General features: G+C 50.9%; 1 protein-coding gene across 8 annotated transcripts, besides 8 other annotated features; it reads right to left on the bottom strand.

Moving 5' to 3' along the window:
• Nucleotides 430–948: an enhancer, noted in NCBI's record as "H3K4me1 hESC enhancer chr18:12431759-12432277 (GRCh37/hg19 assembly coordinates)". NCBI's record gives its function as "activates a minimal SCP1, AML or CMV promoter by ChIP-STARR-seq in primed H9 embryonic stem cells {active_cell/tissue: H9 hESC(primed)}" and the evidence as "EXISTENCE:reporter gene assay evidence [ECO:0000049][PMID:30033119]".
• On the bottom strand, nucleotides 470–24,779 carry PRELID3A (PRELI domain containing 3A). 8 transcript variants are annotated; one of them, XM_024451076.2, is made up of 7 exons: nucleotides 24,489–24,779; nucleotides 12,215–12,383; nucleotides 11,079–11,168; nucleotides 5,597–5,667; nucleotides 5,385–5,487; nucleotides 3,272–3,358; nucleotides 470–1,558 (listed from the first exon to the last, which is right to left on the bottom strand). In XM_024451076.2, the coding sequence occupies exons 2-6, from the start codon at nucleotides 12,350–12,352 to the stop codon at nucleotides 3,305–3,307; spliced, it is 456 nt and encodes a 151-aa protein (XP_024306844.1). In that variant the 5' UTR covers nucleotides 12,353–12,383; nucleotides 24,489–24,779; the 3' UTR covers nucleotides 470–1,558; nucleotides 3,272–3,304. The 8 variants fall into 8 exon arrangements, with proteins under 8 accessions (XP_024306844.1, XP_024306843.1, XP_047293227.1 ...); XM_024451075.1 differs by lacking the exon at nucleotides 24,489–24,779 and adding an exon at nucleotides 23,954–24,349; XM_047437271.1 differs by lacking the exon at nucleotides 24,489–24,779 and adding an exon at nucleotides 12,560–12,727.
• Nucleotides 12,075–12,224: a silencer, noted in NCBI's record as "silent region_9313". NCBI's record gives its function as "represses an Ori minimal core promoter by ATAC-STARR-seq in GM12878 lymphoblastoid cells {active_cell/tissue: GM12878}" and the evidence as "EXISTENCE:reporter gene assay evidence [ECO:0000049][PMID:35858748]".
• Nucleotides 16,084–17,034: an enhancer, noted in NCBI's record as "NANOG-H3K27ac-H3K4me1 hESC enhancer chr18:12415673-12416623 (GRCh37/hg19 assembly coordinates)". NCBI's record gives its function as "activates a minimal SCP1, AML or CMV promoter by ChIP-STARR-seq in naive H9 embryonic stem cells {active_cell/tissue: H9 hESC(naive)}" and the evidence as "EXISTENCE:reporter gene assay evidence [ECO:0000049][PMID:30033119]".
• Nucleotides 23,952–24,201: an enhancer, noted in NCBI's record as "active region_13102". NCBI's record gives its function as "activates an Ori minimal core promoter by ATAC-STARR-seq in GM12878 lymphoblastoid cells {active_cell/tissue: GM12878}" and the evidence as "EXISTENCE:reporter gene assay evidence [ECO:0000049][PMID:35858748]".
• Nucleotides 23,952–25,380: a biological region, named in NCBI's record as "hESC enhancers GRCh37_chr18:12407327-12407988 and GRCh37_chr18:12407989-12408648".
• Nucleotides 24,059–24,718: an enhancer, noted in NCBI's record as "H3K27ac hESC enhancer chr18:12407989-12408648 (GRCh37/hg19 assembly coordinates)". NCBI's record gives its function as "activates a minimal SCP1, AML or CMV promoter by ChIP-STARR-seq in primed H9 embryonic stem cells {active_cell/tissue: H9 hESC(primed)}" and the evidence as "EXISTENCE:reporter gene assay evidence [ECO:0000049][PMID:30033119]".
• Nucleotides 24,402–24,981: a silencer, noted in NCBI's record as "silent region_9312". NCBI's record gives its function as "represses an Ori minimal core promoter by ATAC-STARR-seq in GM12878 lymphoblastoid cells {active_cell/tissue: GM12878}" and the evidence as "EXISTENCE:reporter gene assay evidence [ECO:0000049][PMID:35858748]".
• Nucleotides 24,719–25,380: an enhancer, noted in NCBI's record as "H3K27ac-H3K4me1 hESC enhancer chr18:12407327-12407988 (GRCh37/hg19 assembly coordinates)". NCBI's record gives its function as "activates a minimal SCP1, AML or CMV promoter by ChIP-STARR-seq in naive H9 embryonic stem cells {active_cell/tissue: H9 hESC(naive)}" and the evidence as "EXISTENCE:reporter gene assay evidence [ECO:0000049][PMID:30033119]".

The following is a 25,728-nucleotide window of genomic DNA, read 5'->3' as shown; positions in this document are numbered from 1 at the left end:
GGAGAGCATAGAATAACCACAACGCACGCAGGTGCTTGTTTTTACCCCACTTTGGTCACCAAAGGTTTGAAGTGGCTGGAGTCTGACATTTACGACTGTCCTCGCCTAAAAAATGTGATCGTGCCCCCAAAATACGCAGGGACCTCTGCGTGCCCCAGCCAGTGTGCGACCTTGTCTCTCCATCCCTGCTTCAGAGATGGTTTCCAGATCCCGCGTTTGCTTGTTTCCGTCTAGAGCAGAACCACCAGGTGACAAGTTCTGGACCATTCCCATTGGGACATTACAGAGCTGCTACGGGAGCAAGATGGGCCACTCAAGGGCGCTGCGTGCCGGGAAGGGCGGCGCAGGGACAGCGCACCAGCACCCCGGCCAGAGGCCCCGCTGCCTTCAGGACTGGGGAGGCAGGCGCCGCACAGCTCCACTCAAGATGACGCTGCTTAAACGCTGAAAAAAGACAGACACGAAACGGTTTATCCAGCATAAACCTATCTGTGTTTAATAAAAGAAGGGAAGAGAAAGGCCACACATACGCTTTCATAAGCACAGAAAACTTCTGGAAGGCTTTGCGAAAAAGAGCCGACTGGCAGCTTGCGGGAGGCCTTTACCCTTCAACGGACTCCAGACTCCTGTACTCTTTTTTAACCATAAGCATGGGTTGCTTTTATGTATTTTTTAAAATTAATGTTGTTTTAAACAACTTTGATTTAAAGATGGTGGGGAAAAGACCTTTGGTCGTTGTCCCTCAAACACTCACAAAACTATAAGGCGAAAAACAGGAACTCAAACCTTGGATACTATGAGGGATCCATGGCCTCCAGCCCCAGCAGGTGAGGCTGGCAAGCAGCGAGGCAGGGCCTCCAGCCTGGGCGCAGGATGTCCCCCGGGCACGGCAGTGGCAGACTGGAGGGGGCTGGCACAGCCTGCAGAAAGGGCCGGGAAACCCCTGGACCCCAGCCCTCTCCCCGCATGAGGAGCCTCGTCAGGAGAGGCTTAGCCACTCCAGGAAAGGCATTTGGGGGCCGAGAAGAAAGCCATGGCCCCAGGCCCCGTGAGCCCCGCAGTCAGAGCCCACCGAGGCCAGCAGCAGATGTGAGGCCCGGAGCAGCCGCGGGCCCAGGAGAGCTGCTTGGTGATCTGCAGGACCGAGGGGACGGGGGCGGAGAGGCTGGAGGGCGGCACACCCGCCAGCGTTTGTGGAGGAGCCTAAGTGGAGGACAGCGTGGGCGGGCGGGCGGGGGCGGCGCGGGTCACCTGCAGGGAGAGAAGGGGCTGGGCCACTGCGGCAGGCAGGACGATGGGCGCCGCCCCTAAGGGACACGGGCGAGGGCCTCGAGCCCTCCATCCACGCAGACGGCGGCGGTGGGGCTGGCTGGGGCTGCTCCCTGTTGCACGCTCATGAGGGGAGGGACATCTGGTCCCGGGGTCACCTGCGACCCGCGATCAGTCCAGCCTAATCCTCCTCCCCGGCCCTGTGTGCCCTCGCAGCCAGACGTGCTTTTCCGTCCCGTCCTTGCTCGTCCTCTCCTCACCTCCTTCTTTCCTTTCTTCTGGGAAGCATCTGCAGAGACACCAGGGGTCGGGTTGCAGAGGAGCAGAGGGCGCACCACACACCACACTCAAGACATAAACCACACTCATGACACACACCGCACATACACATCACACACATGCATATCTTACATGCACACACCACACACATACACATCACACATACACATTACACACATGCACATCATACAGACATGCACAAATCACACACAGCACACAATACACATCACACACATGCACATCATAGACACATGCACACACACCACATACATACACATCACAGAGCACACATACACATCACACACCTCACACACATGCACCCATACCACACACATACACATCCCATAGCACACACACATCACACACATGCACATCATACACGCATGCACACACATCACACACATGCACACACACCACACACATACACATTACACAGAGCACACACTATACACACATTCACACACAGCACACACCAATCACATACACATCATACAAACATGCACACACGACACATACCACACACATATACACATCACATACACAGAGCACACACACACCACACATATACACATCACACAGCACACATGTCACACACACACTCCACATACCACACACATATACACATCACACACACCCCACACACGCACATCACACACCAGCATACACACCACACACACACACCACATATATACACACAGCACACACACAACATACAGCACACACAGCACACAAACATGCAACACATCACAGACAGCACATGCACACCATACACGCTGCACACACACACACACCACACACACATATATACATACCACGCACAGCACACACTCCACACACCGCACTCACCACACACACATAGATACTCACCACACAGCACACACCACACACCACACAGATACAGGATGCCAGGCAAGGAAGCTCCTTACAGGCACTGAACTCAGGGTGCGGCCATGAAGGAGGCGAGGCCCATGGCCACCCCTGGCTTGGGTTCAAGGAGAGCAAAGTGTGGCTTCAGTGACTCAGGCAAAATCAGCACGAAGTTCTTAAGGATCCCCGAACCCACACACACGGGGGACAGATGGGGACGAGCAGCCCAGAGCAGCGCAGCACAGCCTCTGGTGGGAGGCGCGTCCTCCCCGGGGATCAGGCCCTGGTGGCCGCTGGCCGTCGGGGCAGGGCCACTAGAAGTCCAGCTGCTGATGCCACAAGAAGCCAGGGAATGTTCGTGAAGCTCAAGGAAACGCCAGAAAGGCTTCCACTGCTAAAAGGAAATGGCCGGCTGCAGCCGTGTGGCCATGTACTGGCTTGGGGCAAGTGAAGAGGTGGGCACAGGACCTCGCTCACAGCAGCAGATGCAGATGCACCCAAAGGACAGCGCCCTGTCAGGACAGGCCTGGCCACTCGCGCCAACTCTGCACAGTCACCGGGGTCACCTCAGCAACCCAGCCCGAGGGTGGCTTGCTGGAGAGGCCGAGCTGCCACCATGCGACCCAGAGGGCCGCAGCTCAAGCTTCCTCGGAATCTAAATCCTGCCACGAAGCAAGGAATGAAATAGAAAGAGGATGAACCCAGTGATTCTGTGTCACCGTGGAAAACTAAGGAGCTCCGGGCTGGAGAGCCACCAGCAGCTGCGTACTTCTGGCGTCCCCTCACCATGTGCACCATGCACACGGGTCACAAGAGGCTGCAAGTACCCCCCCAGGTGAGTGAATACTGTACTCACCACCATTTATGACAAGCACAGGCACAGGCCTCCTTAGCTCACAGCGCTTTCAGAGTGTTCAATTATCCACTCGATAGCAGCCCACCCCTGCAACACAGAAAGATTTCAGCACTGAGTGGGTCGTCCCGCCTCCCGCTGCAGACAGCAAGCGACAAGTCCACAGGCTAAACTGCAGAAGGCAAGCGCTGCAGTTACAAGGAGACACAGCAGTGACCTTTCCGAGTGATCTTCACACAGGCAGGCAGTTCCTCCAGCTCAGAAGGGGGAAGGAAAACAGTGCCTAAGAGTCACTGCTGTGTTAGCAAACCAGCGCCCGGCTTAGCTCAATACAGCAAGTCCTGTCCCTCACCTCCCAAATCCCAGCGCTGAGGCTGCCCCAGGAGGCCAGGAAAGCCCAGGGTGACACCTCCACGCACCCCCAACCCCATCCCCTGCACCTGCCCTCAGGCCGCTCCGCTGTTTCCAGGCACAACACCTCTCCCCACCTTAGTGATTCTCTCCTAAGCCTTCAACACAACCTCTAATAAAGTGAAATAAAGGAAAGCCAATTTGCCCTCACTGAGTTTACCCCAAATTTTTCACATAAAAGGTCTAAGGTAGCTGTGGCCTCACTGAATATTCCCTTCCTCTTATAATATTTTGTTTGGCAAACATTTAGGGCTTCTGCCCTAAGCCAAGCATTGGAAACAACGATGGGTGAGATCCGGTCTCCTTCCTCCAGCATGGACAAAGCTCTCCCCCTTTGGCCTTCGCTGCCCTACCTCCTCTGAACTGAGCTAAGCTGCTCAAATCTCTGTTTCTCAAATCTGGATTCTACAGAATTAGATAGACAGGCTATTCTATTGGTGATGAGACTAAATGCAAGCCATAAATGGTTTTCCACTAGTTGGAGAGTTAAGCATGGAAGGACATTGGAAAGGGAAGTACAGCCTTAGGAATCACCCACTGATCTCAAAAATGAAGACTCATTTCTGACCCCCAAAAAGGAGGGAAGAGAAAGAGGGAGGAAAGGGAAGAGTGAGGGGTAGGAGGGACAGACAAAGAGAAGACATGAGCCTGTGAGGCGGGCCCAGGTGAAAAGCAAAGGCCCTGCTCTGGCAAGTGGCATCTTTTAAATGTGAGGAACATCTTCCTACCAAACATTCAAGCTCTTTCCATCAACTCTGCTGGAGGGGAGGGCAACCTGGACTCCTAGAACAATCTCTTCCTCTGTTCCAGTGCCCTGGACACAAAGGGAGTACCATGGATGGCCTCCTGGGATCTATCCTTTCTCCTCTCACCTCCACAAAGCTTACTGCCAAATCCTGCCAGAGAGGAGCTGTGAAGACGGCAGCAGGCTCCATGGAAGCGTCACTGCTGGAGAGGTTCAGCCAAAGCCACTTAATGCCCATTAAATAGGAAACTACTATAAGTCCTGAATAGCCTACCTGACACTGTTAACACCTTGTATTTCTGATGTTGTGGGTTAGTTTGCTTTGGTAACTGAGCTTATGACATTTGGGCTCTTTGAAGTGGTAGTTGCCTTGGCTGGGTTTATGCTCCAGGTTTACCCCATACTTTCTCTACTGAGAAGAGTAACTTTGGCTCCCTTGGCTTTCATGCACACACTTCCCTCAGACCTGGGTCAGCCTTTCCCTACCCTAGTTTTGAAATACTGTGGCATTATGAGCTCAGCATAAATGGAGAGCCCCAGCACTCAGGATTTTATTTATTTATTTTTTATTTTTATTTTTATTTTTTTTTTTAAGACAGAGTCTCATTCTGTTACCCAGGCTGGAGTGCAGTGGTGGTTCAGCTCACTGCAACCTCCGCCTCATGGGTCCAAGCAATTCTCATGTCTCAGACTCTCGAGTAGCTGGGACTACAGAGGTGTGCCACTATGCCCAGCTAATTTTTGTATTTTTAGTAGATGGGGTTTCAGCATGTTGGCCAGGCTGGTCTTGAATTCCTGGCCTCAAGCGGTCCACCTGCGTTGGCCTCCCAAAGTGCTAGGATTACAGACATGAGCCACCATGCCCAGCCAGGAAGACTGATGAGACTAAAAATGTCATATTCTTAATCTGGCACTTAACAACTAGAGCACACACAGGACTCCTAGGATTGAGATACATACCTTCTTTGCATTGGATGATATCGTATTGGCCATTAAACTTTCCAAATAACTACCAAGGCTAATCCCCTTCACAGTGATGATGGCTTCTTGTGTGAGCACGGTCCTGCAAAAGAGCAAGAAGAAAAGGGGCTGACCAGCCCTGAGAGAGAGGAGGGTCTGCCCTGCCCTCACCCGTGGCATTCAATGTGTCAATCCCACAGGAGATGACTCACATTTCTGGGTTCTCTGGATGAGGTGTGTACACCAACCTCTCATTAACTGACACCAAATTTGTGAGTGTGATCTTAAAAAGAAAAAAAAGGTTTAGATTGTATTTCTCTTGCATTTCTTCTGAAGCCAACTGCCCATACTCTTCCATCCCAAAATTAGCACTTAGTGGGGCCAGAACAGAAGAAACTTTTAGGCATAGGAGATACGACCACATTAAATCCTAGGAAACCATGGTTTTGCTGTTCCTTCTGGCAACTGTCATCTATCTTCTTCCCATGTCCCACTCCACATGTGAGCAGGGCTCTGGCCTTCAAGGTACAGTCAAGCTGCCAAAACTATCAGCAGTTGTACCATAGAAAAGGACAAATAGGCCTGTGTGTCCATATAAGTGAGAGAAAGCTTTTCACCTACCCATGGCAGCCCACAGAGCACTGTCTCCTAGGACTGGATGGGACAGACTCTGAATCTACATGGAGACTGCAGGGTTCTTGTCTCCTCCAGTACCGCTTCCTATAAACAGACTAACTCCTTATGTACATATTTATACTTTTTTTTTTTTTGAGATGGAGTCTCACTGTGTAGCCCAGGCTGGAGTGCAGTGGCGCGATCTCGGCTCACTGAAAGCTCTGCCTCCTGGGTTCACACCATTCTCCTGCCTCAGCCTCCCGAGTAGCTGGGACTACAGGCACCTGCCACCATGCCCAGCTAATTTTTTGTATTTTTAGTAGAGACGGAGTTTCACCGTGTTAGCCAGGATGGTCTCGATCTCCTGACCTCGTGATCCGCCCGCCTTGGCCTCCCAAAGTGCTGGGATTACAGGCGTGAGCCACTCCACCCGGCCTATATTTTCTTTTTCTTTTTCTCTCTTATTTTTTTGAGACAGAGTCTCGCTCTGTTACCAGGCTGGACTGCAGGGGCATGATCTTGGCTCACTGCAACCTCTGCCTCCCAGGTTGAAGTGATTCCCCTGCCTCAGCCTCCGGAGTAGCTGGGATTACAGGCATGTGCCACCATGCCTGGCTAAGTTTTTTTTTGTATTTTAGTAGAGACAGGGTTTCAGCATGTTGGCCAGGATGGTCTCAATCTCCTGACCTCGTGATCTGTCTGCCTTACCCTCCCAAAGTGTTGGGATTACAGGCATGAGCCACCACACCTGGCCTCTTTTTTATTTTTTGAGACAGAGTCTTGTTCTGTTGCCCAGGCTGGAGTGCAGTGGTGTGATCAAGGCTCACTGCATCCTCAACTTCCAGGTCTCAAGTGATCCTCTCACTTCAGCCTCCTGAGTAGCTGGGACTACAGGTGCACACCACCACATCCGGCTAATTTTTAAATTTTTTGTAGAGATGGGATTTTGCAATGCTGCCCGGGCTGGTCTCAAACTCCTGAGCTCAAGCGATCCTCCCACCTTGGCCTCCCAAAGTGCTGGGATTACAGGTGTCAGCCACTGGGCCCGGCCTATATTTTCTACTTTTTTTTTTTTTTGAGATGGAGTCTCGCTCTGTCGCCCAGGCTGGAGTGCAGTGGCATGATCTCGGCTCACTGCAAGCTCCGCCTTCTGGGTTCACACCATTCTCCTGCCTCAGCCTCCCCAGTAGCTGGGACTACAGGCGCCCGCCACCATGCCTGGCTAATTTTTTTTTTTTTTTTTTGTATTTTTAGTAGAGACGGGGTTTCACCATGTTAGCCAGGATGGTCTTGATCTCCTGACCTCATGATCCACCCGCCTCGGCCTCCCAAAGTGCTGGGATTACAGGCATGAGCCACTGCGCCCAGCCTATATTTTCTGTCAAAACCAATTTAAACACTCGAGCTCTAGAGCCACACTAACAGAATTTTCTGTGCTAACAGTAATGTCCTATGCATGCTGTCTGATATGGTAGCCACACACACATGCAGCTAATGCACACCTGAAATGTGGCTCATGTGACTGAGGAATGGAATTTTTAATTTTATTTTATCCTAATTAGTTTAATTTTTTTTTTTCAGATGGAGTTTCACTCTTGAGTGCAATGGCGCGATCTCAGCTCACTGCAACCTCCACCTCCCAGATTCAAGCGATTCTCCTGCCTCAGCCTCCAGAGTAGCTGGGACTACAGGCACCCGCCACCATGCCCGGCTAATTTTTGTATTTTTAGTAGAGATGGGGTTTTGCCATGTTGGCCAAGCTGGTCTGGAAATCCTGACCTCAGAGAAGTCAGGTGACCTGCCTGCCTCAGCCTCCCAAAGTGCTGGGATTACAGGCGTGGGCCACCGCACTGGCCATAAATAGCTTAAAATTAAATAGCCACATGTTGCTGGTGGCTGCCACACTGGACAACAGAGCTCTAGAATTGCTTCATTGTTTAACTCAGTTCACCCTCTTCTCAAAATGCCAATTCTGATAAAAGACCATGTTTTAAAAAGTTTAAACAGTGAAAAGCAAATTAACCTTTCTGTAGTGATAAATACTCATTTTTTCAGTAATCTCTCACTGAATCCCTCCCCCAGCCTCACTGTCCCAATGCAAATGGTTAGTAGGAAATCTCTCTCCTCCTACAGAGTGCCAGGTTATCAAGAGTCTCACGTGTATGGGCGTTACATTCAACAGAACTATCTAACAGCATCAATTACAAATTAAACTCTGATTAGCTGTTGTCATTTTATGTGCAATATTTTATGCAAGTCACTGTGTTTCATAAACCTTACTCCTCTGAGGTTTGTTCTTTTCTTTTTTATACAAGAAATGTGAGACTCAGAAAATGTAAATAGCATCCCCAAGTCATCGGGCCATCCAGCGATGGCTTCAGGATGCAAGCACATGTCTGTCTTGCTCCAAACCCTGTTTCCTTCCCATCAGACTTCACTGGAGCATAAACTGCTCCTTTTTACATACAACTGAGTTTTCTGGAAGGATAAGGTGGAATTTCATAAGTAAATATTGGTTTTGGGGGCAGAAAGAACATAATACGTAAGCTGTCAGGAATAGCCAGTGGGGACCTGACAGGCTCCTGTGACTTTGTGCAGCCTGGGACAAGGAGCCAATAGGACCAGGGAACATTGGCAGAAGTCCAGGTAGTACACTAAGGAGCTAGGCTCTATCCTGCAGGTGGCTCACAGCCTCATCTCAGCACACAGGGATGCACCCACTGCCTTCTACGGAAGGTGCTCCCAGCTGGGCAGAGTGTGGCTGGCCGACAGCACTGAGCATCCTGGGGGACTGTTCCCATGGCCACCTGAGAAGCTCATAGGAGCTCCCGAGGCCCTCTGGTTGGGGCAGGGGAGCCGCAGGACCCAGAGCAGCTCCACTTTCTTTCAAACACTGGGCCTCCCACAAGATGCTGAGAAGATGGGGAGCTGCCCAGGTACCGGTTCGGGTACTTGCGCATGGCCGCCTGGATGACCTGCTCCTCAGCCCTGTCCCCACCCACTGCACCCACCAGCCCTGCCTGCCCCTGGGACCAGGTCGCCATTCCCTCACTGCAGCACTGCTGGCCGCACCTTCAGCTTCAGGCTGGACACTCCACAGCCTGCTGTGCAGGGGCTGCATACTCAAGATGTGCAAAGCAAGCTTACCTCTCTCTTCTCACACCTGCCCCTCATGGGCCACCATTCAGCCTGGCGCCCTAACCAGAGAGCAGAGCTGCGTCGTGAGCCTCCTGTTCCTTACTCCCCATGTCTCACCCCAGGTGGCCTCTGCTACCTCTCACCTGGACAATTACCTGCCCGGACTACTGGTCTCCCTGGCTCAGGTCCCAACATCCCCCCGGCCCTCTCTCCACAGGGCTGCCAAGGTATTCTTCCCAACACACAACCCGGCTACCTCACCTTCCTGCAACAAACTCTCAGTGGCTCCCTCTTACCACGAAAACGACCTCCGGCTCCTCTGCCTCTTCTGTGGTCTTGTGCCTGCCCCTCTCCAGCCTCCTCCCTCCCACACCACCTTCCCCTCTTAGTCTCTAACGCCATCTGTTTGTGGCTCTCTAAGGCTCAAGGGCGCCCACTGCCAGTGTGTATGGAGAAGTCCTGCCAGGCTCCCTGTCACCTACCTTCACATGGCCACTTAGGGGAGCTCCTGCTCGCTGCCACCTATGTGGGTTGTCTAGATGCCCACCGTGCGATGACAGAGCCAGTCAGGAGGAAATATCTTAATCCTTGCATTCCCCATCCCTAGCACTGTGCTGGGTACCTGGCAGGCACTTGATACCGTTGGCAGAACCAGTAAATAGTGGTGGCTAGAGCCAACCATGGCACTGGGGACAGAAAAGTGAGGCCAGATGAGGGCACCGCTGACTTCACCCACCATAGCCCATTTCTATATTTGCTGAAAATAAGGATTATTTTTTGAAATAAATAATTTTGCTAGCCCATGCATATTTCCCAACATGTTCTTGCATTTGCATTAGGCCAATATACATTTTTTAATTGAGAGAAGTGAGAGAGGAGTGAAGGGGGGAAGTAGCTTTAAAAATACCTGTTGGGGCCAGGTGCGGTGGCTCACACCCATAATCCCAGTACTTTGGGAGGCTGAGGCGGGTGGATCACGAGGTCAGGAGTTTGAGACCAGCCTGACCAACATGGTGAAACCTCCTGTTTACTAAAAATACAAAAATTAGCCAGGTGTAGTGGCACGCGGCTGTAATCCTAGCTACTCAGGAGGCTGAGGCAGGAGAATGGCTTGAAACCAGGGGGCGGAGGTTGCAGTGAGCCGAGATCACGCCACTGCACTCCAGCCTGGGCGACAGGGTGAGACTCCATCTCAAAAAAAAAAAAAAATGCCTGTTGGTGGTACACACCTGTAGTCCCAGCTACTTGGGAGGGTGAGACAGGAGAATCGCTTGAACCCATGAAGTGGAGGTTGCAGGGTGCTGAGATCCACTGCACTCCAGCCTAGGTGAGAGAGAGAGACTGTCTCAAAAATTAAAAAAAAAAAAAAAAAAGCACGTTGAAAGGCATCACTTGAGACCAGGAGTTTGAGATCAGCCTTGGCAACAGCGAGATCCTATCTCTGTGAAAAATAAAAATAAAAAAACAGCCAGGGATGGTGGCACGTGCCTGTGGTCCCAGCTATTTGGGAAGCTGAGGCAGGAGGATCACTTGAGCCCAGGAGTGCGAGGCTGCACTGAGCTATGACCACACCACTGCACTCCAGCCCGGGTGACAGGGCAAGACCCCATCTTTAAAAAAACAAAAACGTCTGCTGGTTGTCAGGACAGTGGTTATCCTGTGGGGGGTGCCCAAGGGGTCTCAGGGGCTGGTCAAATTCTGTTGCTTGAACTGCCTGCTAGTTAAGAGGTGCGTTCTTTGTGACAATTCATCATTATGTGCATTTTTCTATATACTTATTATACTTGAATAAAAAGATAAACTGCTAAATGAATTCAGCCTTTCTGTTAAAAATAAGCAACACCTAGACCAAAGGTGGGCTGGAAATAGAATTAAACGAAGGCCTTACGCACCACCACCCAGACACACTGAGCCCGTTTCTCATCTGAGGCCATTGCTTACATTGGTAGAACAAAGTTCCATTTTCTTTTCCACTGGATCCACCACAGAATGTTCTCGGATGTATGTCAATGTCCTACTGGTTCCCAAAATCTAGAAAACAAAGCAAAACTAGCATAGTGGAACGTTAAAAATTCTACTTCATATCACCACCGAATACCATTGCATTTACTAATTAGTTCACTATTCAAGAAATGATATCATGGGATGCAGCAAGGGACAGAGACAAAACCCCTGTGTCCAGGGCGCTTCCGCTCCAGCAGGTGAGCCACTGAGCAAAGAAATGAATTCCAACAGAGTGGAGCGTGCAGCAGCACTATGCTCCCGGCAAAATAAAACAGGCTGCGGGCAGTGGAGCTAGGAGGCCCCTCTGCCGGGCGGAGTCTGGGCAGAGCCCCAAAGAGGAAGGTACCACCATAGTGCTGGGGTGGGGGTGTCAGGCTGGGGGCAGCAGGTGCAGGCCCCTGCAGCAGGAGCTGGGCTGACTGAGAGGCCTGCGCCAGGCCAGGGTGTGGACTGCAGGTGGAGGCGAGATCCAGGGGCCGGGTTGGGGTGAGCCGTGCTCAGATTTGCATTTCCAGCGACCTCCCTGGCTCTGAGGAAGAGGCCACGGGGGGCTGAACCATGGTGAAGCCTAATCCCGGTGCCCTAGGATGCGGCTGGCTGCGGACGCTGGGCTTTAGAGGCGGTTAAACCAGGAGGAGGGGCGCCTGGCAGTGCTAATCCAGCAGGCCCGGGCCCTTTGGGAGGACAGATGGGGATGCCAGACGCCACGCGCCAGGCAGAGCCTCCCGCGACCCCCGATCTCGAGGAAGACCCCCCCACCGTCCCCCCACCCCGTGACCCCCGATCTCGAGGAAGATCCCCCCCCACCGACCCCCCACCCCACGCCCCCCGATCTCGAGGAAAACCCTCCCACCAGCCCCCCAGCCCGTGCCCCCTGATCTCGGGGAAGTTCCCCCCACCGCCACCCCCACCCCGCGCCCCCTGATCTCAGGAAAGGCCCCCCGCCGCCCTCCCACCCCGATGGCAGCCAAAGCAGCAGAGGCACTGATGAGGGGAGGAGGGACGCGGGAGAGGGCGGGGGCGGGAGTGGGGGAGTCGGGCGCGTTCGGAGCCGCAGCCCCCGCCCCGCTCACCGCTCTCACGAGGCTGGGCAGCCCCCACTCGGTGCTGAGCAGGCGCAAGCTGTGCAGGCGGCCGCGGCCGTCCACGCGGCGCTGTAGCACATCCACGCCCAGCACGCTCGGGTTCATCGGGTTCGGGTACTTGCGCATGGCCGCCTGGATGACCGTGTCCCACGGGTGGCTGCGGGGAGAGCATAGGCGGCGGTGAGCAAGCGCCGGGGCCGGGGCCGCAAGGGTGAAGGGGAGGAAAAGCCGCCGCCAGGCCTGGGCAACGCGCTAGTCTCTTCACTTTAATGAAAGGCTGGTCCGACAAATCTGAGGAGTCCCGCGAGCCCTCCCCGGCCGCCGGCTCAGCACCTGCACGCCTCGGCACCTGGCAGCCCCTTGGTTTTTGTTTGTCTGAGACAGGGTCTCACTCTGTCGCCCAGCAGGCAGGAATGCAGTGGTGCCATCAGGGTCACTGCAGACTCAAACCTCCCAGGCTCAAGTGAACATCCTGCCTCAGCCTCCTCTTGCCCCACCTCCAGTAGCTGGGACTACAGGCGTGTGCCACCAAACCTGAATGACTTTTTTGTTTGAGACGGAGTCTTGCTCTGTCACCCAGGCCGGAGTGCAGTGGCGCGATCTCAGCTCACTGCAAGCTCCGCCTCCCGGGTTCCCGCCATTCTCCTGCCCCAGCCTCCGGAGCAGCTGGGGCTACAGGCGCCCCCCACCATGCCTGGCTAATTGTTTTCTATTTTTTAGTAGAGAGGGGGTTTCACCGTGCTCTCGATCTCCTGACCTCGTGATCTGCCCGCCTCGGCCTCCCAAAGTGCTGAGATTACAGGCGTGAGCCACCACGCCCGGCCTAACTTTTTAAATTAATTAATTTTTTTTTGAGATGGGGTCTCACTCTATCACCCAGGCTGGAGTGCCGTGGCACGATCTCAGCTCACTGCAACCTCCGCCTCCCGGGTTCAAGTGATTCTTCTGCCTCAGCCTCTCTAGTAGCTGGGATTACAGGCACCCACCACCACACCTGGCTAATTTTTGTATTTTTAGTAGAGATGGGATTTCCCCATGTTGGCCAGGCTGGTCTGGAACTCCTGACCTCAAGTGATCCGCCTGCCTCAGCCTCCCAAAGTGCTGGGATTACAGGCATAAGCCACCACGCCTGGCCAACTTTTTTTTTTTTTTTTTTGATATGGAGTCTCGCTCTGTCACCCAGGCTGGAGTGCAATGGCTCTGTCTCGGCTCACTGCAACCTCCACCACCCGGGTACAAGCGATTTTCCTGCCTCAGCCTCCCTAGTAGCTGGGACTACAGGTGCCCGCCACCACACCCAGCTAATTTTTTTTTGTATCTTTAGTAGAGACGGGATTTCACCATGTTGGCCAGGCTTGTCTCAAACTGCTGACCTCGTGATCCGCCTGCCTCAGCGTCCCAAAGTGCTAGGATTACAGGCGTGAGCCACCGTGCCCAGCCCAACTTTTTATTTTAACAATTTTTTTAGGTCTCATTATGTTGCCAGGTTGATGTCGAACTCATGGCCTCAAGCAATCCTCCTGCCTTGGCCTCCCAAAGTGCTGGAATTATGGGCATGAGCCACCGCACTCAGCCTCCCCTTGTTTTATTTCCTGCCATCAGAGTGGTTGCAAGTCACCCATTGCTTTCCAGAGCTCTGCACTTGTTTAGGCCTGAAACCTGCAGGGTCAGACACACGTCTGAAGGGAGCCAAGTGAGGGGCCACCACACCTGTCCAGCATGGACCTTCCCCCGGACTGCTAAGGGGTTGCTAGCAAGTCACTTTATTGCCCTAATTGTCCTAATCCACCCTTCCTTCAAGGTGTGCTCTCTCCCAGGAAGCCTCTGAGCCTCCTGCAAGGACAAACATTCTCTGACAAGATCATCATTTCTTCAGAAGTGCCCAGAGAGGTTTGTCCAGCATATGTATAGACACAGCCCAGAGGCAAGCCCAGATGTGTGCACACACCTATGCACCATCACATTCACATGTGTGCACATATGCATGCAGACACACATACATGCACATGCACACACATCTTGAAAAATTAAACTGGGATTACACTCAATATATGGGTTTACCATCCATTTTTTATAACTGCTGATAAACATTTTCCTATATCATGAAGCCATTTTCAGGAATATGATTATAAACAGCTGTACACTAGGTCATCTTGTGGCTGTGTATATTTCACCAGTCCTCTATGGTGGGTTATGTTATGTAGATTGCTTTCACTTTTACACGATAAATTATAACAGTAGTGAACATTTGTGTACATTAGTCTTTCAACATATCTAATTCTTCCTTAGGATAAAGTTGTAGAAATGAAATTTCCAAATAAAATATGAAAGATTATGAGGATACTGAAGTTTTTTCTTCCATATTTGAGGTCAATTTTCAATATAACAGAGTGATCAGTAATTTACTTTACCCTCATCAAACACTCTTGTCCTAGGTGAAAGTTAGCAGCAGGGCCCAGATGAGAACCAGGTCTCGCAGCTCCCTAACCTGTTCTATTACATTCGGTGGCCTCTAAATTGTCAGGGCCTGGCCTGGAATCCTCTCTTAACAATAGAACACTTATGTTCAGTTTTTTGAACCATGCAATTGTGTCACTAAGCTGACGCATTCCACTGGCTAACATAAAGAGAAGAGAGGGATGAAGAAGCCAAGACTGGGTGGTCCTGATCACTCTAGGAATTCAGTCAGAGTGGAGCCCTTTCGTCTCTCTGAGGTTTAGGAAAGAACTGTCAGGGACATGGCAGACCCCAGATCTAGGTAAGGAAGGTGAATCTAGAGATACATGTGAAGCAGAAAGGGTCCCAGTCACCCAGGAGAGCCTCCTCAATGAATAGTCTGATGGCTTTTCAGTTAAGTTCCTTAGACTTATTCCCATAGAAATCATTACTTTAAGCAGAACAGGGTATGCCTTCTAACATTAAGCTTAAAATAATCTAAACATTGAGAGATTTTTGCATTAAGCTTATCTCAAATAATGTTTCTTTCATATAAAATTCTTGCATCTTAGGGCTGGATGCAGTGGCTCATGCCTGTAATCCCAGCACTGTGGGAGGCTGAGGCGGGCAGATCACTTGAGGTCAGGAGTTCAACACCAGCCTGGCCAACATAGTGAAACTCCATCTCTAAGAAAAATACAAAAATTAGCCAGGCATGGTGGCAGGCACCTGTAATCCCAGCTACTCGGGAGACTGAGGCAGAAGAATTGCTCGAACCCAGGAGGTGGAAGTTGCAGTGAGCCGAGATCGCGCCACTGCACTCCAGTCTGAGCAACGAAGCAAGGCTCCATCTCAAAAATAAAAATAAAAATAAAAAAATTTGCATCTTTCTGGCTGATGATTTAAACTAAATACAATCTGCTTAAAATATGCACATAATAAATAATTTTACTAATTACAGCAGGATGACCACACATATAGCAACAGAACAATGGAGGAAAATGATAAACATAATAAAAATATCTCAACATCTCTAAAATGATAAAGTCTAAGCACAGCAAGTCAATAGCACACACTTGGTTAAAGAAAATAGTCTTGTCTGGCTGGGTACTGTAGTTTGTGCCTGTAATCCCAGTACTTTGGGAGGCCGAGGCTGGTGGATCGCGAGGTCAGGAGATCGAGACCATCCTGGCTAACACGGTGAAACCCCGACTCTACTAAAAATACAAAAAATTAGCCGGGCACGGTGGCAGGCGTCTGTAGTCCCAGCTACTCGGGAGGCTGAGGCAGGAGAATGGCGTGAACCCGGGAGGCGGAGCTTGCAGTGAGCCCAGATCATGCCACTGCACTCCACCCTGGGCAACAGAGTGAGACTCTGTCTAAAAAAAAAAAAAAAAAGAAAGAAAGAAAAGAAAAGAAAATAGCCTTGTCTGGGCACAGTGGCTCATGCCTGTAAATCCCAGCACTTGGGGAGGCTGAGGCAGGAAGACTGCTTGATGCTAGGAGCTCAAGCCCAGCCTGGGCAATATAGCAAGACCCCTCATCTCTACAAAAACAGAAAACATTAACCAGGCATGGTGGCACACCCCTGTGGTACTAGCTATTTGGGAGGCTGAGGTTGAGGCAGGAGGATCACCTAAGACCGGAGGTCGAGGCTGCAGCAAGCCATGATTGTACCACTGCACTCCAGCCTGGGTGACAGAGCAAATGCCTGTCTAAAAAAACAAACAACAACAACAACAACAAAAACCCAGAAAGAACAAAAATAGCCTGACACGCTTTCAATGGGCAAAAATAGACAAGTCTGGCAATATTGAGTACTGGAAAGGGTATAGGAAATAGGACAACAGGAAGTGCTGCTGGTGGACACAAACTGGCACAGGCACTAATGGCAGCAGTTTACCCAGAGAAGCTGAAAATGGACACCCCGCCCCTGCCGAAATCAGTCAGGGTTCTCAGCTGCCTGGTTGAGGCAGAAGAGGAATGTGCTGAAGTTTATTTTCAAGAGGAGCAGAGAACTGCCTACTCAGAGATCCCCAACCAGGCGGCAGGAGCCTCCTCTGCTGCTGTTCGTGGAGACCTCTGGGGAATCCTATCCCCCAAGGGCAAGAGGCCTCCGCTGCCACCCAGCATGGATGGCTCCCCACATACACGTGTCCCAAGTGCTCTGACACCATGTGTGTGGTGGGTCTGCCTGGCGGGCTAAGGGAAGCTGGTTTCTGAGCTGGGGAATGAAAAGGAATAACAAAGGACTCTCTAAGCACCAACAGTGTCGGGAAGATGAAGAAGGAGGAAATTACATGATGTCTGGGATTTGCCTAAAATAACCCAGGGGAAGGAGCAGTGGGTGGGGACACAGAGGACCCTGGACTGGCTGCCAGAGGGTAACTGTTAAGCTGGGGGTGGCACCGGCTCTCAGTATTCTAGTCTCTCCATGTTTGCATAGTTGTGAAATTTCCATAGCAAAAATCTGTCTTAAAAAGATTTAAGGCCAGGCACAGTGGCTCATGCCTGTAATCCCAGCACTTTGGGAGGCCGAGGCGGGCGGATCACTTGACAGGAGTTCTAGAACAGCCTGCCCAACATGGTGAAACCCAGTCTCTACTAAAAATACAAAAATTAGCTGGGCATGGTGGCGCACACCTGTAGTCCCAGCTACTTAGGAGCCTGAGGCAGGAGAATTGCTTGAACCTGGGAGGCAGAGGTTGCTGTGAGCCAAGAACGCACCACTGCACTTCTGCCTGGGTGACAGAGTGAGACCCTGTCTCAAAACAAAACAAAAAAATAAAAATTAAAAAAAAAAAAAGATGTAGGCAGACCAGGTGTGTTGGCTTATGCTTGTAACCCCAGCATTTTGGGAGGCCAAGGCAGGAAGTTCACTTGAGACCAGGAGTTCAAGACCAGCCTGCGCAATAGAGCAAGATCCCTATGTCAACAAAAAATACGAAAATTAGCCAGGTGTGGTAGCTCGCAACCATAGTCCCAGCTACTGCAGAGCCTGAGATGGGAGGATCACTTAAGCCAAACAGTTTGAGGCTGCAGTAAGTCGTGATTGCACTACTGCACTCCAGCCTGGGCAACAGAGCAAGACCGTCTCTAAAAAAAAGAAAGAAAAAAAGATGTAGGCAGCCAAAAACAAGATAGTAGGCCTGCTATACCCCACCACCAAGTGACCCAAGGCCTCCATCAGCTGCTCCTTAGCATTTGGGCCACACACCCTGGTGGCTCCAAGAACTTTTCCAGACATAACTGTTGTCACAGTGCTACTGAGACATGACTGACCTTTTCTTTTGGTGGGGGTGGAGGGGTGGGGGGAGGACCAAGTCTCACTCTGTTGCAGAGTGAGACTGGGATGCAGTGGGTGTGATCTCAACTCACTGCAACCTCCACCTCCCGGGTTCAAGCAATTCTCGTGCCTCAGCTTCCCGAGTAGCTAGGACTACAGGCATGAGCCACCACACCCAGCTAATTTTTGTATTTTTAGTAGAGATGGGGGTTCACCATGTTGACTAGGCTGGTCTCAAACTCCTGACCTCAGGTGATCCACCCACCTCGGCCTCCCAAAGTGCTGGGATTACAGGCATGAGCCATGGCGCCCGGCCAATGACTGGCCTTTTTTGCTGTATTGACATTTGCGCTAATTCTGCAAAAGCAATAAAAGGACAGAGCCAGTATCTTCCCAGCATCAAGGCAGGGCTCCAAATTGCATGTGGTCACCGCAGTCCTCACTGCTGTGCACTTGGGAAACAATGCCAGTTTCTCTTAGGGACATCTGTGAGTAAATGGCCAAGTGATTAGTTTTATGACTGCTTGACCCCTGAGTACTCTTCTCTTTGATATTCTGTGTGAGGGAACAGAAGTGCACCAGAAGCCCCTCTGCTGCTGCGGCCCAAGTCCCTCGACTCTGGGGTGTCTGGGGGGCGCCGGCACTTGTTCACTCTGAGTGGGAGCCCCTGTCTCTCTGCTGCTTTCCACTGCCTGCCTCTTGTACTTGAAAGAGCAATAAACAGAAAGAACAATAAACAGATAAACTTTGCTTATTCAGACTTGGGGATCTGGCAGATGATTTCTTGAAAATTAACAAAGTAAGCCTGTGCTTCAAGGAAAACAACTGATAGCATTTGCTGCCAAAGATAAAATTTGAGCTTTAAAGTGATAATTTGGCCAGGCACGGTGGCTCACGCCTGTAATCCCAGCACTTTGGGAGGCCAAGGCAGGCGGATCACCTGAGGTTAGGAGTTCAAGACCAGCCTGGCCAACATGGCGAAACCCCGTCTCTACTAAAAATACAAAAATTAGTAGGCCGTGGTGAGACTCACCTGCAATCCCAGCTATTTGGGAGGCTGAGGCAGGAGAATTGCTTGAATCTGGGAGGCAGAGGTTGCAGTTAACTGAGATCATGCCACTGCACTCCAGCCTGGGCGACAGAGTGAGACTCTGTCTTGGAAAAAAAATAAATAAATAAAGTGATAATTGAAATTTCAGAAAACTTGTATCTGCTACCAGGAGCTGGATGACTGCCTCATGCTGCACGCTCAGTGGAGGCCTATATTCCAAATGCTTCCAAGTCATACTTGGGTTAAAGACTCATTCATACACAGGACAGGCCAATGGGTTTGTTGTTGTGGTGGCTGTTTTAAGAGATGGTATGGCTCTGTCACTGTAGCCTCAAGCTCCTGGGGTCAAGCAATCCTCCTGCCTCAGCCTCCTGAACAGCTAGGACTACAGGCACAAGCCACCACACCTGGCTAATTTTTGTATTTATTTTTTGTAGAGACATATTCTACTATGTTGCCCAGGCTGGTCTCAAACTCCTGAGCTCAACCGATTACCCCCGCTAGGCCTCAGAGTTCAATACTCTATTCATTATAGTTTCAGGTTTTGTATTCCAACTAAGTGTTAAGAAGCTACCGTTTCTTTTGTCATAACAGGAAAGAATAGCCATAATTACTTAAAAAGACTACTAAGATGCTCCCACCTTTTCCAGCTGCATGTTTGTGTGAGGCTGGGGTTTATCCATACACTTCAACCAAAACTATATATTGCCAAACACAGACTGCAGAAGCAGATATGAGAATCAAGTTATCTCCTATTAAGCCAGATATTGTAGATATTAGTAAAAACAGAAACAGCACCACTCCTTTCACTAATTTTTGGAAAATACAGTTTTTTATTCAGAAACATTATAACAGGTTTATTATTGTTAAATTTAATGAATTAACTTTTTCAATTTATCATTTTTAATTTCTAATATGGTAAATATTGACAGACATAACCCACATAAGCAAAACTGTTTAGGGTTTTGCTAAATCAAGAGGTCCTGAGGCTGAAGAGCTTGAAATCCATTGGCCTAAGTGGGCCCTTGATTGAGTGGGAAATAGACACAGGGCTGGTCACTGCAGTTCGATTTGTAATAAGAGGAAAACTTAATGCCCTTCAATAAGAAAAAGAATAAATGGTGGCACATTCATACAGCTATTAATATCTATCTATATCTACATATATTTATGTAGACATCTATAGACATCTCATATGGATGGATTTTCGAAAAACAATAGGGCTAGGCGCAGTGGCTCACGCCTGTAAACCCAGCACTTTGGGAGGCCCAGGTGGGCTGATAACTTGAGGTCAGCAGTTGGAGACCAGCCTGGCCAACATGGCGAAACCCCGTCTCTACTAAAAATACAAAAATTAGCTGGGCGTGGTAGCAGGTGCTTGTAATCCCAGCTACTCAGGAGGCTGAGGCAGGAGAACTGCTTGAACCTGGGAGGCAGAGGTTGCAGTGAACTGAGATCCCGCCACTGCCCTCCAGCCTGGGTAACAGAGTGAGACTCCACCTGGAAAAAAAAAAAAAAAGGCCGGGCGCCGTGGCTCATGCCTGTAATCCCAGCACTTTGGGAGGCCAAGGCGGGCGGATCACGAGGTCAGGAGATGGAGACCATCCTGGCTAAACTAAAAATACAAAAAAGTAGTCAGGCGTGGTGGCGGGCGCCTGTGGTTCCAGCTACTCTGGAGGCTGAGGCAGGAGAATGGCGTGAACCCGGGAGGCGGAGCTTGCAGTGAGCCGAGACTGCGCCCCTGCACTCCAGCCTGGGCGACAGAGCGAGACTCCGTCTCAAAAAAAAAAAAAAAAGAAAGAAAAGAAGACAATATGACACATGCGTATACACAGATGCGGTAAAGTGAACCTCTGGAATATAGACCCCCTCAGAAGGATGCCCACCAAACTGATCCTCACGGCTGCCTGCAGGGAGGGAGACACAGTGGAACACCAGTGGGGAGGGGAAGAGCAGGCTTCAACTCATCTGTAATGTTCAATTTCTCTTCCCTGCTCCTAGCTGTAAGGCAAGCCTGCTTTAGGCATGACTCCCCATGCCCCAAAGCCCGTCCTGCCCTGAGAAGGGCATGGCCAGACATTCCTGGCAGCTGTCAGAATCAAAGGTGTGTGCAGCCTTGAACCCTGCAGGAAATCTATTTGTGATGGGCTTTGTTATTGATGATTTTGTCATAGGTCTGCCTGAAACCTCAATGCTGGGAAGAAGACATTTTAAACCCTGTCCTTTTTTTTTTTTTTTTTTTTGAGACGGAGTCTCGCTCTGTCGCCCAGGCTGGAGTGCAGTGGCGCGATCTCGGCTCACTGCAAGTTCTGCCTCCCGGGTTCATGCCATTCTCCTGCCTCAGCCTCCCGAGTAGCTGGGACTACAGGCACCCGCCACCACGCCCAGCTAATTTTTTTTTTTTTTTATTTTTTAGTAGAGACAGGGTTTCATTGTGTTAGCCAGGATGGTCTCAATCTCCTGACCTTGTGAAACGCCCGCATTTTTAAATGCCCCTTTCTATATTTTGGCCATATACTTTTAATTTTATTTAAACTACTTTCACCCCTGTCTAGGTAACACACACGTTAATTCAGTGGCCTTTCCCCGGGCTCTCTGTTTTTGTCTGAGTGTTTACACTGCTGTCTGCTATGATGATCTCAGGGGCGGAGTTTCTTCTCAATGTGGACACAGGAAGAAAACTTGATAAGATCAAACTGTTTGTGCCTAATTATTTCTTCATTTCAAAAGTACTGTAATCCCAGCACTTCAGGAGGCCGAGGTGGGTGGATCACTTGAGGTCAGGAGTTTGAGACCAGCCTGGCCAACATGGTGAAACTCTGTCTCTACTAAAAATACAAAAAAATTCACCAGGCGTGGTGGCACACGCCTGTGGTCCCAGCTACTCGGGAGGCTGAAGCACAAGAATTGCTTGAACCGGAGAGGCAGAGGTTGTGGTGAGCCAAGATCGTGCCACTGCACTCCAGCCTGGGTGATAGAGCAAGATTCTGCCTCAAAAAAAAGGAAAAAAAAAAGTAAATGTATTATTTCCAATCAAATGTTCACCTAACAGTACAACAAACTTTTTTTAAGTATAGAAAGAAAAAGAAAGGTCTATAATCCTCAAAGGAAAAAAATCAGGGGTTTCAATGGACGAAACAAGGGGAAAACTACACAGTAAGTCCAGCCAGGAAGCCAGACTTCCAATTTGTACTGTCATTTGGATGCTATGACACCTCATGGTACCACCTCATGGTACCACATCATTCATAACCCGTCCAGCCACAGGCCAATGACAGCATCCTCGGCCAGCCACATTCCACATTTGTCAGGCTTCATTACGGCCCTTTGCTTTCAAGTTCAAAAGTCTATGGCAGAGAATCAGCACCTAGTCCACAGCAGCTCCAGGGATGACCGGGATTCCTTTGGTGGATAGCTGCCCCTGTCCTGGAAGGACATCTGATCTCCATGTAAGATTCCTCACCCCTTCCGAGCACCTGCTAGGCGCCGGGCCCCGGCGGGGTGCCAGGAATACAAAATGAATGATGGGAGAAATGAAATACTGACACTCTACCACATGGTGAGCCTCAAGAAAATCATGCTAAGTGAAAGCAGACAGACACAAAACACCCCATATTGCAGGATGACATTTACATGCAATGTCCCAACAAGGCAAATTCATAGAAACAGAAAAGATTCCTGGTTGCCTGGGGCAGGGGTGAAAATGGGGTAAAATGTGAAGCTAATGAGCATGGGGCACCTCTGCAGGAGGACAGAAGTGTTCTAAGACTGGACTGTGTGTGTGATGGTCATACTTAGCAAAACTTAATGAATTATACACTTAAAATGTGTATAATTTTATGGTATGTAAAGTATCCTTCGGTAAAGCTTAAAAAAAATAAATGGGAGTTAGCAGCTGCAACAATTTTCAAAAGCATCAACTGTGATTTTTCACAGCTAGCTATTCATTTGTGCTTGTCCACAGACATTTCACAAACCTCTAGGGCAGACCTCGGCCATTCCATGAGAAAACTGAGCCCCAACCACCTGGCACTCCTGGTATGCAATGACTTAACTGTCCACAGCATCCAGACGGCTCAGTGATGCCCCCATCCTTGTTGCTGATGGAAACCCACTTGAGAAACACTGCAAGCCATACAAAAAATTAGATCCCATCAAGTCTAAAGACTTCATGAAAAATAATTTCAGAGGTTTTGAAACCACTTGATATATTTTTATTATAATTTTACATGTTTAAAGTCAGGCCAGTCACGGTGGCTCACACCTATAATCCCAGCACTTTGGGAGGCCGAGGCGGGTGGATCACCTGAGGTCAGGAGCTCGAGACCAGCCTGGCCAACATGGCGAAACCCTGTTTCTACTAAAAATACAAAAATTAGCCGGGCGTGATGGCCCACACCTGTAGTCCCAGCTACTCAGGAGGCTGAGGCACGAGAATCACTTGAACCCAGGAGGGGGAGGTTACAGTGAGCCAAGATCGCGCCATTGCACTCCAACCTGGGTGACCCAGCGAGCCTATGTCTCAAAAAAAAAAAAAAAAAAAAAAAAACCCAGCCTGGGTGACAGAATGAGACTCTGTCTCGAAAAAAATAAATAAAAAGAGTCAAAGGATGACAATTTCCTTCCACGCAGTACTTTTTTTCCCCCCAAAATAAAATATTTAATGCTTAAGTGAGGTCAGATAATTAAAAAATCTTTGTTGCTGTAAATAAACATTAAAGAATAATTTCAGTGTGTCACAGATCACTGACTTAAGGAAAAGATACCACTTAGGTTAGGAGGGCACTTTTTTCTTCTTTTTATTTGCACAATTCTATGGAGTATATGTGCAATTTCGTTACATGCATAAATTTCGTAGTGGTCAAGTCAGGACTTCTAGGGTATGCATTACCCGGGAAGGTGTCTTGCACCCATTAAGCAATTCTCATTATCCTCCCTGCACCCACCCCCTCACCCTTCAGAGTCTCCATCATCTGACGTTCCACTCTCCACATCCATGTGAACACATTCTTAAGCACCCACTTAGGAGTGGGAACATGCGATACTTGTCTTTCTGGGCCTGGCTTCACTTAAGATAATGACCTCCACTTCCATCCGTGTGCCGGGGGAGCATTTTTAAACAGTTCGAGGTTTTCCACGCTAGCTTGGAGGCCTTCCATGCCTACAAGTGAGTTCAGAGCCAGGGCCCCCGAAATGCCTTCTGCCCCTTTAGCTTCCTCCAGAGCTCACAGCCCGCCGTGGGCCCTCCGTGAAACGCGCGGAAGGTTTATGACAATCTCAGCAAAGGCGCCAGCTTGCAGGCCTCTCCCCTGCCCTGCTCCCGACCCCAAGGAGAGCAGCGAGCGCCAGGCCCCCGGCCGCCCCCCCGGCTCCGGCCGCCCCCGCCCCGGCCGCCCCCGCTCCGGCTGCCCCCGCCCTGGCTGTCGACCACCAGCGGGGCCTCTGTGCCTGCAGCCAGGCCCCTGCGCACGCCGGGGGAGAGGCCGTACCCGGCGCAGAGCCTCGCCCAGACCGCGGTCCCGGGGAAGCGCGCGTGCCCTCTCCGGGACGCCGAAGTTGCGGTCTGGGAACGGCCGGCGCGGGGCGGGGATCTCCGCGAGGCCCGCTGTGAGGTCCGGCCTTTCCTGGACCGCTCCAGCCGGGCTCGGGAGCAGGAGCCGGCGTCTGGACGGCCCCACCGCGGCCCTCAGCCCGGCCTCACCCAAACACGTGCTCCGAGCTCCAGATCTTCATTGCCGCCGGCGCAGGGCGCGGGCTCTGCGATCCGGGCCGGGTGCTTCGGGCCGCGCGGCTCCGGGCGCGGCGTGGGCGGGGCCTCGATGGGCGGGGCGCCCTTGGATGCCGCCCACCCCGTCTGGTGGCTAGGCTGGCTGCAGCGGCTAAAAATAGCTCTGCGGGCGCGGCTGTGGCGCAGCCCCAGACCTGCGCTGCTACCCTGGGGTGCGCGATGCGCGCTTGCTGCAGATGCCGCGGGCGTAGGAGGCGACGCTCGTCCTTACTCCCACTGTCCAAATTCTCCCAAGGCCCTGTCCAGCTACGCCGGTTTGTACTGTCGGGGACGTGTGATGAAAAACAAACCTGCCAACCCTCAAAACTCCACTGCAGTTTGGGTCTTGAACAAACATTAAACCAGCATGTGAGGCCGGGCGCGGTGGCTCACGCCTGTAATCCCAGCACTTTGGGAGGCCGAGGCGGGCGGATCACGAGGTCAGGAGATCAAGACCATCCTGGCTAACACGGTGAAACCCCGTCTCTACTAAAAATACAAAAAATTAGCCGGGCGTGGTGGCGGGCGCCTGTAGTACCAGCTGCTCGGGAGGCTGAGGCAGGAGAATGGCGTGAACCCGGGAGGCGGAGCTTGCAGTGAGCCGAGATCCCGCCACTGCACTCCAGCCTGGGCAACAGAGCGAGACTCCGTCTCAAACAAAACAAAACAAAACAAAACAAAACAAAACAAAACCAGCATGTGATGTGCATCACAAGCAATCCGCCAAATAGGCTGCAAAGACAGAAATCTCAGCCTGTATCAAACAGCCGGGAGGATGCAACCTACCCCACGCATGCTCCCGAGGTAAACGAGACAGCCCTCCGGGGAGGGGACTCCACTACACCATTTGTCGCAGAGTTCATCCTAAATTCGCCTGATGATGGAGTGGCCATTGGTAAATGCAGTGGCCATTTGCGTTTGCTAATTGCCTTTATCCAAAGGAAAAATGAATTTTCATACCT

The sequence above is a fragment of the Homo sapiens genome, chromosome 18, assembly GCF_000001405.40.
Source record: "Homo sapiens chromosome 18, GRCh38.p14 Primary Assembly".
NCBI lineage: Eukaryota > Metazoa > Chordata > Mammalia > Primates > Hominidae > Homo > Homo sapiens.
The sequence above is the reverse complement of the archived record's forward strand: the minus strand, read 5'-3'. Positions and strand labels throughout refer to the sequence as shown.